We start from the raw sequence: 17,873 nt of genomic DNA on the forward strand, positions 1-17,873 counted from the left end.
TGAGGAGAAATTCAAGCCAGTTGCAGAAATTTGCATAAGTAACAAGGAGCCGAATGTTAATCCCCAAGACAATAAGAAAAATGTCTCCAGGGCATGTCACATGTCTTCACAGCAGCCTCTCCCATTACTGGCCTGGAGGACTAGGAGGAAAATGTGGTTTTGTGGGCCAGGCCTTGGGTCCCCATGATGTATGTAGCCTAGAGAGTTGGTACCCTGTGTCTCAGCTGCTCCAGCTGTGGCTAAAAGGGGCCAGTATAGAGCTTGGGCCGTGGCTTCAGATGGTGTAAGCCCCAATCCTTGGCACCTTCCACGTGATATTGAGCCTGTGAGTGCACAGAAGTCAAGAAATGGTGTTTGAGAACCTCCACCTAGATTTCAGAGGATGTATATACATGCCTGAATGTTCAGGCAGAAGTTTACTGTGGGGCGGAGCCCTCAGAGAGAATCTCTGCTAGGGAAGTGTGGAAGGGAAATGTGGGGTTGGAGCCCTCACACAGAGTCCCCACTGAGGCACTGCCTAGTGGAGCTGTGAGAAGAGGGCCACCAACCTCCATACCCCAGAATGGTAGATCAAGGAGCAGCTTGCACCATGCACCTGGGAAAGCAACAGACACTCAATGGCAGCCTGAAAGGCAGCCAGGAGGGGTCTATACCCTGCAAAGCCACAGGGGTGGGGATGCCCAAAGCTGTGGGAGCCCACATTTTGCATCAGCATGACCTGGATGTGAGATATAAAGTCAAAGGAGATCATTTTGGAGCTTTAAGATTTGACTACCCTGCTGGATTTTGGACTTGCATAGGGCCTGTAGCCCCTCTGTTTTGGCCAATTTTTTTCCATTTGTAATGTCTGTATTTACCCAATGCCTGTAACCCCACTGTATCTAGGAAGTATCTAACTTGCTTGTGATTTTACGGTCTCATTGGCAGAAGGGACTTGTGTTGTTTCAGATGAGGCTTTGGGCTGTGGACTTTTGAGTTAATGCTGAAATGAATTAAGACTTTAGGGGCTGTAGGGAAGGCATTATTTGTTTTGAAATGTGAGGACATGAGATTTGGGAGGTGACAGGGTGAAATGATATGGTTTGGCTGTGTCACCATTTAAATCTCAACTTGAATTCCCATGTGTTGTGAGAGAGACCCAGTGGGAAGTAATTGAATCATGGGGGCAGAGGGGCAGGTCTTTCTCATGTTGTTCTCACAATAGTGAATAAGTCTCATGAGTTCTGATGGTTTTCAAAAGGGGAGTTTCTCTGAACAGCTCTCTTCTCTTTTCTGACATCACGTGAGATGTGCCTTTCACATTCTGCCATGATTGTGAGGCCTCCCCAGCCATGTGGAACTCTAAGTTGACTAAACTTTCTTTCGTAAATTGCCCAGTCTTGGGTATGTCTTTATCAACAGTGTGAAAATGGACTAATACATAGGCTGATATGGTTTGTCTGTGTCTCAGCCCAAAATCTGATCTTGAATTATAATCCCCACATGTTGGGGGAGGGATCTTGTGGGTGGTGATTAGATTATGGGGCAGTTCCCCCATGCTGTTCTCATGATAGTGAGTGAGTTCTCAAGAGATCTGATGGTTTTATAAGGGGATTCCCCACTACCCCCTTTGCTCTGCATTTCTCCTTCCTGCCGCCATGTAAAGAAGAACATGTTTGCTTTTCCTTCCACCACGATTATAAACTTCTTGAGGCCTCCCAAGCCCTGTAGAACTGTGAATTAATTAAACCTCTTTCCTTTATAAATTACCCATTCATGGGCAGTTCTTTATAGCAACATGAGAACAAACCTAATACAGTAAATTGGCACTGTAGAGTGGGGGGTACTGCTATAAAGATACACAAAAATGTGGAAGTGACTTTGGAACTGGGTAACAGGCAGAGGTTGGGACAGTTTGGAGGACTCAGGAGGAGACAAGAAAATGTGGAAAAGTTTGGAACTTCCTAGAGACTTGTCTAATGGTTTTTTACCAAAATGCTGATAGTGATATGAACAATGAAGTCCAGGCTGAGCTAGTTTCAGATGAGGATGAGGAACTTATTGGGAAGTGGAATAAAGGTAATCCTTGCTTTGCCATAGCAAAGAGACTGGCAGCATTTTGTCCTGCCCTAGAGATCTGTGTAACTTTGAACTTGAGAGAGATGATTTAGGGTATCTGGCAGAAAAAAATTATAAGTAACAAATCATTCAAGAAAAAGAGCATAAACGTTTGGAAAGTTCTCAGCCTAATGATGTGACAGAAAAGAAAAAAACAATTTTCTGGGGAAAAAATCAAGCCAGCTGCAGAAATTCATATTAGTAACAAGGAGCCAAATGTTAATCACCAAGACAATGAGGAAAATGTCTCCAGGACATGTCAGAGACATTCATAGCAGCCCCATCCCATCACAGACCCAGAGGCCTACAGGGGAAAAATTATTTCATGGGCCAGGCCTGGGACCCCCATGCTGTGTGCAGCCTAGGGAGTTGATGCCCTGTATCCCAGCATGCTAAATGTAGAACTCAGGCCTTTACTTCAGAGTGTGCAAGCCCCAAGCCTTGGCAGCTTCCATGTGGTGTTGAGTCTGCAGGTGCTCAGAAGTCAAGAATTGAGGTTTGAGACCCTCCACATAGATTTCAGAGGAAGTATGAAAATGTCTGGATGTCAAGGCAAAAGTTTGCTGCAGGCATGGAGTCCTCATGGAGAACCTCTGCTAGGGCAGTGTAGAAGGGAAATGTGAGGTTGGAGGCCCCACACAGAGTCTCCACTGGGGCACTGCCTAATAGAGTTGTGAGAAGTGGGCCACCATCTGCCAGACCCCAGAATTATAGATCCACCTACAGCTTGCACCATGCACTTGGAGAGCTACAGACACTCAATGCCAGCCAATGAGAGCAACCTGGAGGGAAGCTGTACCCTGCAAAGCCACAGGGTTGGAGCTGCTCAAGATTGTGGAAGCCCACCTCTTGCGTCAGTCTGACCTGGATGTGAGACATGGAGTCAAAGGAGATTATTTAGGAGCTTTAAGATTTAATTACTTCCTCACTGGATTTTAGACTTGCATGGGGCCTGTAGTCTCTTTGTTTTGGCCAATTTCTGCCATTTGGAATGGGTGTATTTGCTCAATGCCTGTACCCCCATTGTATCCTGGAATTAACTAATTTGATTTTGATTTTTACAGGCTTTTAGGCAAAAGGGATTTGCCTTGTCTCAGATGAGACTTTGGATTTGGACTTTTGGGTTAATGCTGGAATGAGTTAAGACTTTGGGAGACTATTGGAAAAGCATGATTGTGTTTTGAAATGTGAGGACATAAGATCTGGCAGAGGACAGGGGTGGAATAATATTGCTTGGCTATGTCTCCAACCAAGATCTCATCTTGAATTGTAATGTGAATTAAAATTCCATTATCTTGGGTGACGGATCTTGTGAAAGGTAATTCGGTTATGGGGTTGTTTCCCCCATGCTGTTCTCATGATAGTGAGTGAGTTCTCATGAGATCTGATGGTTTTATAAGAGGTTTTTCCCCCTTTGTTCTGAACTGCTCCTTCCTGCCATCATGTGAAGAAGGACATGTTTTCTTCCCCTTCCACCATGATTGTAAGTTTCCTGAGGCCTCCTCAGCCCTGTGGAACTGTGAATCAATTAAACCTCTTTCCTTTATTAATTATGTGCTCTTGAGCAGTTCTTTATAGCAGCATAAGAATGAAGTAAGACATAAGCATTCTCAATACAAATAAGATAAGTATATAAAATAAAGCATAAGTTAATTAGCTGAATTCAAACATTCCACAATGTATACATGTTTCAGAACATTATGTTGTACATGATAAACACATACAATAAAAGAAAAAACAGGAAAAAAAAAACCCTTAAAATCAATGAGCTAACCCTGCCCTATCTCTAGGAATCTAGAAAGAAAGAACATTTTGAATCCAAAACATAAAGTAAGTATAGGAAAAAAAAAAAAAAACAGTAAGAGTGAAAATCAACAAATAGGGAAAGAGAGTAAGAGAATGTAACAAAAAGAGGGTTTAATGAACGATTAACAAAATTGACAAAATTCAAGCCAATGTTATCATTAATAAAGGAGAGAAGAAAAGGTTACCAATATTATGATTAAAAGTATAATAAGAAAATATTCTAAAAACTGCATACCAATACTCATGGTAATGTACAATTAAAATAGGTGTATGTTATGGTATGTTAAATGTTCTTTATGTTAGTTTAAAAACTAAAAAAGAAAACTTTAAAAAATGTAATTATTTTAAGTAACAACTAGGAAAGAAACATTATTTATGATCTGGGATAGCAGCATATGTAGGTAAATCGATTGGCCAGAGATAGCTTTTTTACTGATTCAAGAGAGAATCAAGGGGAAAATGTATGAAGAGGAAAAAAAGAGAGATGGATGTCCTACCTTTAGAATCAGGAGAGGAAATTTTATAATCAAATGTGATAAACCACTGGCATTTGCCATTAGCTTCCAAAGGTATAATAAATCCATACTGCAGCAGCCTAATAATTAAGGTAGGTGTTTGGGAAGTATGAAACATTAGGTGTCTAAATGTGAGAATAGGATTAAATTTGGGAAAGAGTACTGAGAAGAGAAAATAAATAAATGCTAAAGGTAATCATAATATCAGGGCTTGCTCTTATCTGTAAATTTTCAAATTTAAGGTAAAATCTTTGCTATTCACCTCTTCATTATATATCTTTTGCCTAGAATCTCTCCTAAATTAATTCGTTTCTCATTTCTGGAAGCTAATGTTTGCCACATCTTGGCACTCTACTGGTATTCAACAGCTAATTAGAAAGAGAATTCAGCTACAGTAACTTCTACTGTGTTCATCTATATCATTGTCTGCCTTGCTTGGGACAAAGCAGAAGCAGAAAGAGGAGAGGTTGCTGAGGTTTAATTGAATCAGCATCACCAAAGCTATTCATTTTTTTAATATGTTTTGTCCCCATCTCATGCCAAGGGAGTTCCCACATTTGAAATTATAGAAGCATAGTGTTTGCATACAAGATATTTGGAGCCATAAATGGGTGAACTGGAATGAGTGGGAGGCTGAAGGGTTATTGCATATCATTAGTTACTGCCACAGTGTACCACATGATGTTGACCTGCTCTCCTTCTAGAAGGAAGCAATCAGAGCATTCATTTCTTCAGGTAATAATAAATTATTTATCTTAAAATAAAAATGAAAACAAAAAAGTGCAGGAAAAAATTACACGAGTGTTTATATTTGAGGGCGAAATGAAGTGGTTAGAATACATTATAATTACGAAGGAGAAATGTGCAAGTAAATTAGATCTCCTAGACTCTAGGACATGAAGTTGAGATCATATGAGTATTTCTAGGGGGAGGAAAGAATCATATCTACTGTTCAGGGAACTTAAAAAGGGCTGCTTTTGTTTAAATTTGGTACTCCAAATCATCTGAAGCTGGTGTCTAGGCAGACCAGGTTCTCTAGATAACTCAGCAAGTACTCTCTCTTTTCCTGCTGTGAAGAACTTTTGAAAGGCATTTAATATGGGTCTGTATATCCTGAGTCAGAATAACAAGTTGATGTGAGAGAGATTCTGCTAGCCCTTGCTTCCTGGGGCCCTTAATCAATTCAGTTCCTATCTAGAGTTCAAGCAGTTTCAATCACTTCCCAAAAGTCCTGACCACAGGACTTAGCTTCCATCTTGGCCTGCCCAGAAGATCCGTGCAAGCCCTAAGGCCCACCAGGTTGAGTGCTGACCCAGGGTGAAGTACAACTTCCTGTTCTCCAGGGCTCTCCCTGTGGAGCAGGTTACAGAGTCTTATTTGAAAACCTGGGTTTATGAACCAGGCTTTAACCATGTTTAGATAAATAAATTTTAAACATTTAGGCTTATGATATGTGGGTATTTTTACTCTTTACTTGGCTTCACTCTGAAAATGTTACTTTCTAATCTTGGGAGGGTGGAGGAGGAGCTTATGATATTTTCTTTTGTTTACACCTTCTGGAAATCCTTTTTTCAAACTGTACTATGAAATAAGAAATACATATAACTAGAATTTAAACTAGCACGCATAGTTGAGCTGACATATCCCTTTCCAGCTGAAGAGGATAATGTCTGTTAGAGGCATAATTGTGACTTTAATGAGTACAAAATAATTAAAGTACTGTTATAAGGGGAAATGACTAAAGCATTGAATCTAGAGTGAAAAGCCAATTATAGTTTTAACACTACCTATGCATAATTTTGCTGGAACATAATCTAAATCTAATGTAATTTTATTAGGTTAGGATTATTTGAAGTATACATTTCTACACATGTGACCAGAAATATCCTTTGTGATATTCTGTATTATCTGTTTTCACACGTTTTGTTTTCACAGGTTTAGACTTGAAAAATAAGCAATGGGGTTTAATACTTTTTAAGTATTTCCTTTCAGAAAAAAACATATATTTCCAATATATGTATATTTATTTTAAAATACTACTACACTCACATATAACTGATAGTATATATACACATATGTATATATGTATACACAAAAAAAGACAGAAAATATAATGAAAAACATTTTGATGTCATTTTATGTATGACTAAGATTATGAAATTGCTTCTCTTATTTATGAAATGAATGTTAACTAAAGTTAGGTCCTGAAGACACAAGTAAGTTACATGAGGAAGTGGCTATAATGCCCATGGTCTCCACTCCCGGCACCCTGCCTTCTTTCCCCCAGCCTCCACTTATGGCCTCATGGGGAGTTCTCTATGATTAGTTGACAGAGGAAGAGAAGAATAGGGCCTGGTTTACAGATGGTTCTGCACAATATGGAGGCACCAACCAAAAGTGGACAGCAACAGCATTACAACACAATTTTTGGACATCCCTGAAGGACAGCAGTGAAAGGATATCTTTCCAGTGGACAGAATTTCAATCAGTGAACTCAATTCTGCACTTTGCATGGAAGGAGAAATGACCAGATATGTGATTATATACTGATTCATGGGCTATAGCCAATGGTTTAGCTGGATGTTCAAAGACTTGGAACAAGCATGATTGGAAAATTGGTGACAAAGAAATGTGGAGAGGAGGTATATGGATGGACCTCTCTGAGTGGTCAAAAACTGTGAAGATATTTGTATCTTATGTGAATTTCCATCAATGGGTGACCTCAGCAAAGGAGAAGATTAATAATCAAGTGGATAGGATGAATCGTTCTGTGGACACCACTCAGCCTCTTCTCACAGCCAGCTCTGTCATTGCCCAATGGGTCCATGAACAAAGTGGCCATTGTGGCAGGGATGGAGATTATGCATGGGGTCAGCAATCTGTACTTCCACTCACCAAGGCTGATCTGGCTATGACCAATTTGCCAGGAGCAGAGACCAGCACTGAGCCCTCGATATGGCACCATTCCTCAAGGTAATCAGCCAACTAACTGGTGGCAGACTAATTATATTGGCCCTTTTCCATCATGGAAAGGGCAGAGGTTTGTCCTCACTGGAATAGACACCAACTCTGGATATGGGTTTGTCTATCCTGCACACAATGCTTCTGCCAAGACTACCATCCTTTGACTCACAGAAAGCCTTATCCACTGTCATGGTATTCCACACAGCATTGCCTTTGACCAAGGCACTCACTTTACGGCTGAAGAAGTGTGGCTGTGGACTCATGTTCATAGAATTCACTGATCTTACCATGTTCCCCATCATCCTGAAGCAGCTGGACTGATAGAATGGTGGAATGGCCTTTTCAAGTCACAATTACAGTGCCATCTAGGTGACAATACTTTTCAGGGCTGGGGCAAAGTTCTCCAGAAGGCCAGGAATGCTCTAAATCAGCATCCAATATATGGTACTTTTTCTCCCATAGCCAGGATTCACAGGTCCCAAAATCAAGGGGTGGAAGTGGAAGTGACACCACTCACCATCACCCCTAGTGATCCACTAGCAAAATGTTTCCTTCTTGTTCCTATGAGGTTACATTCTGCTGGCCTAGAGGTCTTAATACCAGAAGAGACACATGTTTCAATTAAACTGGAAGTTAAGATTGCCTCCTAGACACTTTGGGCTCCTCCTACCTTTAAGTCAACAAGCTAAGAAAGGAGTTACAGTGTTTGCTGGGGTCATTGACCCGGACTATCAAGATGAAATCAGTCTACTACTCCACAGTGGGGGTAAGGAAGAGTATGCACAGAATACAGGCAATCCCTTGGGGCATCTCTTAGTATTACCATGCCCTGTGATTAAAGTCAATGGGAAACTATAACAGCTCAATCGAGGCAGGACTAACAATGGCTCAGACCGTTCAGAAATGAAGGTTTGGGTCACTCCACCAGGAAAAACAACCATAATATGCTTGAAGTCTGTATATAAATACTTGCATAGATTCATAATTAAATTAACTAAATTTCCTCATTTGAAAATGTTGTAATTCTAAGATAAGCTATGTTTTGCATATATATTTTAACATAGTTCACCTATCTCATTTTTTTAAATGAGAATACATAAAATTACATAAAGAAAAGAAACCACATGAAAAAGCAAATGCTTTCTAGGCCAAGGAATAAGTCTAACTTTATCCAATAGTGAAAATGAAAAGTTAATTAGGTGATTTAAAGCACTGGAAATTTGACAGTAGCTATTTGAATAAAACACCCACATCACAATCAAAGGTGAAATCAAATAGGAACATGAAGCTATGTTCTAGAAAAACATTTTCTCCAAATTATTTTAAGAAATTGCATGCTTCTTCAAAATATGATTTTTGTTTTATAATTCCCTTGCATAATTTGATAATTGGGAAATGTAAAACATTACATTAACATTAATATAGATAAAAGTGAATTTTTATCACCACATTGGTTTTAACTTGTCTTTGTTTCTTTGTAATTTGTGTCAAAAGAAAATAAATCTTGGGACCCAAAAATGACTAAGCTAAAGGGAAAAGTCAAGCTGGGAACTTCTTCAGGCAAACCTGCCTCCCATTCTAATCAAAGTCATCCCTCCGAGGCTCACCTGAGACAAATACATGTTTGATTACTCCCTATCCCCTATTGTTTATGTATAAATGCAGATTCAGTGAGCCAGACTAAATTGTGTATTCAGTGGAAGGCTGATCAAAGACTCAAAAGAATCCAACCTTTTTTCTCTTATCTACTTCTAACTTCAAAGCCCCACTTCATGTTGTCCCACCTTACTGAACCAAACCAGTGTACATCTTACACATATTGATTGATGTTTCATGTCTCCCTAAAATGTATAAAAGCAAACTATACCCCTGACCACCTTGGGCATATGTCTCAGGGCTTCCTGAGGCTGTATCACAGGTGTATTTTTGACCTTGGCAAAATAAACTTTCTAAATTGACTGAGACCTGTGTCAGATATTTTGCATTCACAATCAGTAACCACAGAGGGATTCTGAGGGGAGGTGCCCCTGACTTTGACGAATCTCCTATAGGTGCTTGGTACCAGCTTGAGCTTTTTTATGGCTCAAACCAATAGGGCAATTTGCTGAGGCCTGTAAGCTCCCCCTCCAGAAAATCCCTGATCTCCCCAAATTTGGTTAAGATCTAAAGCTTATTTTGCTGTACAACTCCTCCTTTTGGAGTTTCACTTGCTTCTTACAGGGAAGGCAAGTTTTCCTGCTTCCATGATGTTGGAAGGAAGGTAAGTCCTTTCTGGAGTTTGAGCAAACTTCCAAAAGGGAAGGCAAGTCTGAGTTTTTTCCTGCTTCTAGGATGGTAGATAGCAGTCTTCAGCCTAAGACCCATTCCTAGGTAAGTAGCTGAATTGTTTTTTTTTTATTTTTATTTTTTGTTTGTTTTTTTGTGGGCTAAAGTTAAGATTAAAAATCAGCTGGTGTTAATTTATCTTTACCATTAGAGTGCTCAGTATTCATATAAATTGTAATATTCATTTGTTTTGCTTAATTGTTTTTTTTTGTTGTTGTTGTTGCCTTTGTAATTGTTTCTGTTTTTGTTATTGTTTCAGTCTTTTTCCTACTGGGTTTGATCAACTCTATCTGACATGATGAAATCTGAAGGAAAGTTCCAATTTATGGGAACAAGGCCTCTGAAGTGTCTAAATTCCCACAAAATAAAAAGGGGAGAGATTTTTTTCTTTTGACTAAAAAAGGGACTTTATTTGTCTAACAGGGCCACATTTTGCTAGCCAAGCCGAATGGTAAGAGCAATGGCTGTTGCCCCACACTGCAGATCCATTGTTAAGGTTCTGTCTTTTTTTTTCTTTTTTTTTTTTTTTCCACTATGATAGCCTTGGTTTGGCTCCTAAATCAAATCCTTTCCAATTTGATACTGGTTACTTTTAAAATATGAGCAATTTGTACTAGCTGGCATGAGATGGAATTTCATTGTGGTTTTGATTTGCATTTCTCTAATGATCAGTGATGTTGAGCTTTTATTTTTCATATGTTTCTTGGCCACATAAATGTCTTATTTTGAGATGTGTCTGTTTATATCCTTTGCCCACTTTTTCATGGGGTTGCATGTTTCTTTCTTGTAAATTTGTTTAAGTTCCTTGTAGATTTTGGATATTAGACCTTTGTCAGACGGGTAGATTGGAAAAATTTTCTCCCATTCTGTAGGTTGCCTGTACTCTGATGATAGTTTCTTTTGCTGTGCAGAAGTTCTTTAGTTTAATTAGATCCCATTTGTCAATTTTGGCTTTTGCTTCAATTGCTTTTGGTATTTTTGTCATGAAGTCTTTTCCCATACCTATGTGCTGAATGGTATTGTCTGGGTTTTCCTCTAGGGTTTTTATGGGTTTGGGTTTTACATTTAAGTCTTCAATAGATCTTGAGTTAATTTTTATATAAGGTATAAAGAAGGGTTCCAGTTTCAGTTTTCTGCATATGGCTAGCCTGTTTTACCACTACCATTTATTAAATAGGAGATCCTTTTCCCATTGCTTGTTTTTGTCAGATTTGTTGAAGATTAAATGGTTTAGGTGTGTGGTGTTGTTTCTGAGGTCCCTGTTCTGTTCCATTGGTCTATATGTCTGTTCTGGTACCAGTACCATGCTGTTTTGGTTACTGAAGCCTTGTGGTATAGTTTGAAGTCAGGTAGCATGATGCATCCAGCTTTGTTCTTCTTGTTTAAGATTATCTATCTTGGCTATATGGGCTCTTCTTTGGTTCCACATGAAATTTAAAGTAGTTATGTCTAGTTCTGTGAACAATGTCAATGGTATTTTTATGGGAATAGCATTGAATCTATAAATTACTTTAGGCAGTTGGCCATTTTCATTGTATTGATTCTTCCTATTCATGAGGATGGAATGTTTTTCCATTTGTGTCTTGTTTTATTTCCTTGAGCAGTGGTTTGTAGTTCTCCTAGAATAGGTCCTTCACATCCCTTGTTAACTGTATTCCTAGGTATTTTATTCTTGCAGCAATTGTGAATGGGAGTTCATTTATGATTTGGCTCTCTGCTTGTCTATTGTTGGTAGAAAGGAATACTTGTGATTTTTGCACATTGATTTTGTATCTTGAGACTTTGCTGAAGTTGCTTATCAGCTTAAAGAGTTTTTGGGCTGAGATGATGGAGTTTACTAAATGTAGAAGCATGTCGTCTGCAAACAGAGACAATTTGACTTCCTCTCTTCCTATTTGAATACGCTTTATTTCTTTCTCTTGCCTGATTGCCCTGGCCAGGACCTCCAATACTATGTTGAATAAGAGTGGTGAGAAAGGGCACCCTTATCTTGTACAGGTTTTCAAGGGGAATGCTTCCAGCTTTTGCCTATTCAATAGGATATTGACCATGGGTTTGTCATAAATAGCTCTTATTATTTTGAGATATGTTCTATCAATACCCAGTTTATTGAGAATTTTTAACATGAAGGAATGCTGAATTTTATCAAAGGCCTTTTCTGCATCTGTTGAGATAATCATGTGCTTTTTGTCTTTGGTTCTGTGTATGTGATGAATTATGTTTATTTAATTTCATATGTTGAAACAGCCTTTCATCCCAGGGATGAAGCCGACTTGATCGTGGTGGATAAGCTTTTTGATGTGATGCTGAATTTGGTTTGCCAGTATTTTATTGAGGATTTTTGCATCAATGTCCATCAGAGATACTGGCCTGAAGTTTTCTTATTTTGTTGTGTCTCTGGCAGATTTCTTATTTTGTTATGTCTCTGCCAGGTTTTGGTACCAGGAGGATGCTGGCTTCATAAAATGAGTTAGGGAGGAGTCCCTTCTTTTTCAATTGTTTGGAATAGTTTCAGAAGGAACAAAGAGGAGGTACCAGCTCCTCTTTTCACCTCTGGTAGAATTTGGCTGTGAATCCATCTGGTCCTGGGCTTTTTTTTTTTTTTTTTTTTTTTTTTTTTTTTTTTTTTTTTTTTGGTTTGTAGGCTATTAATAACTGCCTCAATTTTAAAACTTGCTATTAGTCTATACATGGATTTAACTTCCTCCCAGTTTATTCTTTGGAGGATGTTTGTGTCCGGGAATTTATTCATCTCTTCTAGATTTTCTAGTTTATTTGTGTAGAGGTGTTTATAGTACTCTCTGATGGTAGTTTGTATTTCTGTGGGGTCAGTGGCAATATCCTCTTTATCATTTTTCTATTTTCTATTCTTCTCTTTTTTCTTCTTTATTAGTCTAGCTAGCAGTCTATCTATTTTGTTTTGTTTTGTTTTCAGAAAACCAGCTCCTGGATTCATTGATTTTTTGGAGGGTTTTTCATGTCTCTATGTCTTCAATTCTACTCTGATATTAGGTATTTCTTGTCTTCTGCTAGCTTTAGAATTAATTTGCTCTTGCTTCTCTAGATCTTTTAATTGTGATATTAGGGCATTGATTTGAGATCTTTCTAGCTTTCTATTATGGGCATTTAGTGCTATAAATTTCCTGCTTAACACTGCTTTAGCTGTGTCCCAGAGATTCCAGTACATTGTCTCTTTGTTCTCATGGGTTTCAAATAACTTCTTGTTTTCTGCTTTAATTTAATTATTTATCCAGGAGTCATTCAGCAGCACGTTATTCAATTTCCAAGTAATTTTGTGGTGTTGAGAGAGTTTCTTAATCCTGAGTTCTAATTTCATTGCACTGTGGTCTGAGAGACTGTTTTTTACTATTTCAGTTATTTTGCATTTGCTGGGGAGTGTTTTACTTCCAATTATGTGGTCAATTTTAGAATAAATGCCATGTGGCAATGAGAAGAATATATATTCTATTGATTTGGAATGAAGACTTCTGTAGATGTCTATTAGGACCGCTTGATCCAGAGCTGAGTTCAAGTCCTGAATATCCTTGTTAATTTTCTCTCTCATTGATCTGTCTAGTATTGACAATGGGGTGTTAAAATTTCTATTATTGTGTGGTAGTCTAAGTCTGTTTGTCAGTCTGTAAGAACTTATTTACATATTGGGTGCATAGATATTTAGGATAGTAGCTCTTCATGTTGAATTGATCCCTTTACCATTTTGTAATGCTCTTCTTTGTCTTTTTTGTTCTTTGATTAAAATCTGTTTTGTCAGAGACTAGGAGTGCAACCCCTGCTTTTTTTGTTTTCCATTTGCTTGGTAAATTTTCCTCCATCCCTTTATTTTGAGCCTATGTGTGTCTTTGCACATAAGATGGATCTTCTGAATACAGCACACTGATGGGTCTTGACTCTTTATCCAATATGCCAGTCCGTGTCTTTTAATTGGGGCATTTAGTCCATTCACATTTAAGGTTAGTATTGTTGCATATGAATTTGATCCTGTCATCATGATGCTATTTGGTTATTTTGCACAGTAGTTGATGCAGTTTCTTCATGGTGTCATTGTCATTTATATATTGCTGTGTTTTTGTAGTGGCTGGTACCAGTTTTTCCTTTCCATACTTAGTGCTTCCTTCAGGAGCTCTTTTAAGGCATGCCTGTTGGTAACAAAATTCCTCAGCATTTGCTTGTCTGGAAAGGATATTATTTCTCCTTTGCTTTGTTTATGAAGCTTAGTTTGCCTGGATATGATATTCTGGGTTGAAAATTCTTCTCTTTAGAATGTTGAATATTGGCCCCCAATCTCTTCTGGCTTGTAGGGTTTCTGCTGAGAGGTTGCATGATATTATGTTTCTTTTCCATGGGAGCCTCTAATCACCGCTGCTACTAGTCGGCATCTTGGCCTTGCCCCTGTTTCACCACCAGACTCTTTCTCTCTGTACAATGGTATGTAAATTTTGTTATCTGATTTTTTACCTAAGAGTTTCTTTAATATGCAAATTTGGGGCTATCTTGCTGACAACTGCCTAGAGTAATAAAATAGGTTATCACGAAATTGGAAGTGTAAAATAAGAGGAAAATAGGGGTCTTATGAATCTGTAAGATCTACTTCTATGTGTCTAATAAGTCTGTGTTTATGTGCTGTGTATATGATATTTCACTACTAAACATGTATAAAACAGCTGCAACTAATTGGCTTTAAAAATAACTTAAATCTTAGCCAGGGGTGGTGGCTTATGCCTGTAATACCATCAATTTGGGAGGCCAATGTGGGCGGATCACTCGAGGCCAGGAGCTTGAGACCAGCCTGGCCAACAAGGTGAAACCCCATCTCTACTAAAAATAGGAAAATTAGCCAGGCATGGGGGTGTGCACCTGTAATCCCAGCTACTCGGAAGGCTGAGGTACAAGAATTGCTTGAACCTGAGAAGCAAAGTTTGCAGTGAGCCAAGATCACACCACTGCAGTTCATTCAGCCTTGGCAAAAGAGCAAGGCTCTGTCTAAAAAAAAATGTGCTTAAATAAAATACTTTATCAGAAAAATAGACCTTAAGCCAAATGCTTTTTCATGTTCATGTTACTTAAGCAAATTTTTAATAAATAAGCTGGCTTTAAAATTTTTGGTGAAATAGAATTAGAAATGACTTCAGGATTGCCAACATGTATTATTTATCTCTGCTAGATATTAAAATTTGGCATGAAGGTTAAAAGGCTATGAATGCAGCCCAAAAGAGAATTATCTTTGTTTATGTAATATTTAATAAATAAGGCATTTAATATTTGCTGACAAAAAGAGTCAAACTTTATAAAATATTTGAAGAGATTTATTCTGACCCAAATATGAGTGACCATGACTTGTGACATAGCCCTCAGGAGGTCCTAAGAACATTTGCCCAAGGTGGTCAGGGTGCAGCTTGGTTTTATACATTTGAGAGAGGCATGAGACATTCATCAAATATATTTAAGAAATACATTGGTTTGGTCCAGAAAGGTGAAACAACTCAAAGCAGGGGTTTTCAGGCTATAGGTAAATTTAAACATTTTGTGGTTGACAATTGGTCACATTTTTCTAAAAACCAGGGATCAATAGAAAGGAAAGTCTGGGTTAAGGTAAAGGATTGTGGAGACCCAAGTTCTTATTATATTTGCAGGCGAAGTTTCCAGGTAGAAGGCTTCAGAGAGAATAAGTCATAAAATGTTTCTTATCAGACTTAAAGTCTGTGTTGATGTTAATGCCAGAGAGGTATAATGAGGCATGTCTAACCCCCATTTCCCATCATGGCTTGAACCAATCTTAAATTTTAAAAGCCCTGGACGAGGAAGAATTCCATTCAGTTGGCTGGGGAGCCTTAGAATTTTATTTTTGGTTTATATATTGTTCAGTTAATGAAAACAGCTAAATCCTGAGTTATTGGCAACAAAAAAACAAACAAAATAACACATTTATCTAACCTTAAGGTTCTTCCTTAGAAAAACCTGAAATTCATGTTATAAAATTGGTTAAAAAGGAAATGACTTTAAATGAAAATTATCACAGTTTTCATAAAGAATGTGAGTAAACTATTAAAAAAAATTAGGTAACTATAATGGAATAGGTGCTTGTAGATAATCTTGTCATATAACTTAAAATCTAAAGTTATATTAAGCTAAATAACAAGTATTTATTAAATTTCTGGGTCATTTCCAGTTTTTTTAAATTATAGAACAACATTTTTCTAAAAAATCTGTTCTTATTTAAAGGAAATTTTTTTTTCTAATTCAAAGGTTATTTAAAAGTTATTCGTGAATTTAAGTATAAGTAATCAGTGAATAAGAACAATTTAAATAAATTTATAAAAATAAAGAGGTATTTTTTGGCAAGAAAAGTTAAAAGGAAAATAATTTTATATAAAAAGTAATCTTGTAAATTTTTATCCAAAAATAAAATAACTTGTTATTTAAGAAAGAAGGATGTCTGGGATAAAACAGAATGTTCAAGAATGTCATAAATTATTTTTATCACATTGTCTATAATTAAAGGAAAATTATTTATAATAGTCTTCCTAAAAATTGGGTTTTGCTATAGCAAAAAAGCAGGTGCACACTAAAGAATTGGTTAGAACAATGAAATTTTATTAAGAGATTGATTTACTTTTAATAAATTATAACAGATTTTAATTTTTTAACCTGAACTTTAACTTTTATTGTATCTCACCATTATGGTTTTTGCTCCCCTTTTAAAAGGTGAAAAATATTAACACTCTTCTTTAACTCATTTTCAGTTCATGTAAGTTTTTTTCCCCCTTGGGTTCTAGCTGTTTGTTATAGCCTGATGCTAAAAATGTTTCTTTAAAGGTCTAACAGAAATGTTTTTTTCCAACATAATGGTCTGTGCACTGCAGAAGGTCTTTTCTTTTGCTTAGTTGCAACTGGCCTAACAGATTTTATGTTTCTGCAAAATAATCCCCATGTCATTATTAAGTTTTGGTTTGCTTAGAAAAAGGCAGACTAAAAAGTATTTTTAATTACGGTAATTACATCCATGTGACTTTCTGTACGTGCTTTTAAAGTCCTTATGCCATTGAGTCACAGGGCTTTTACTCCTGGGTCTAAAAAGGACAACGAGTCCTGTTAAATCTAATACACTGACAGCTTAAATTAAATTCTCATCTTCAGACCCAGTAGAAGATGCCAATCAAAATGAACTTTGTGGGACACAGGGCCAGAAATTAAAACTATTCAACATCTCAAGGCCCATGGAATATCTAGGAAAAGGTGAACACATGAGATTGTAAGGGCTAATTTTAAGATAGAAAATTAGTTCAGTTTATCTAGAAGTTAACCATTAATATCATTGGCACACTGACACAAAACCAACATCTGGGCCCCTGTCTCAGATTAACAAGGTTTCCTTGGCATGTTAACTGACTCCATAATACAAATTATAAAGGTTACAAGAAGGTTTATGGAAATAATCTTATGGTCAAGATGATTAAAATCTTGTAGATTGTTTATAAGATATTGAGAGACAGATTTAATTGGCCTTGCACTGTCTTTAATAGAGGTCATTGTTTGTGAAATTGTCTGCTCTCAAAGAATAAAGGTTTTCACCTTTTTAAAAAAGAATCTTTATCACTTTGGTTAAATTAATGACTTATTTTATAATGATCTGTGATCATATTTTGTGATATCAAGCATTTTAAACTTTTTATGTTTGGCAAACTTTCCAAACTCAAATTCTAACTTAGGTCCTCATTAATTTTCTGATATTAATTTTCATTATTTCCTGATATTAGTTCCTTAAAGTCCAAATGAGACATATTCAGCTTATTTGTAAAAATCACATAGGAAGCATTGTCAAATATAAAATAATGTTTGGTTTTCTTTGGGCTATATTTATATAAATGTTACAGTTATATGTCCCAAAATTTTGGGAAACTCATAATTTTAATATGACTTATTGTATGTTATTAATAATTATAATTGTTATGTGAAATTTTTGTATGCCACAGAAGTCATGAATTTCTAGTCAATTGTGATTTTAATAATGGCTATCCTAAGATTTGACATCCACAGACTATTGTTGTCTTGTTTTGATACTCTTCAAAAGGTGATTTCTAATCAATGTGTAGGACTTTGTTAGGTGCTCTTGAAAGCAGTTTTCTAATAACTTTGGACATTGTGACA

Source organism: Homo sapiens, chromosome X (genome assembly GCF_000001405.40).
Source record: "Homo sapiens chromosome X, GRCh38.p14 Primary Assembly".
Classification (NCBI taxonomy): domain Eukaryota; kingdom Metazoa; phylum Chordata; class Mammalia; order Primates; family Hominidae; genus Homo; species Homo sapiens.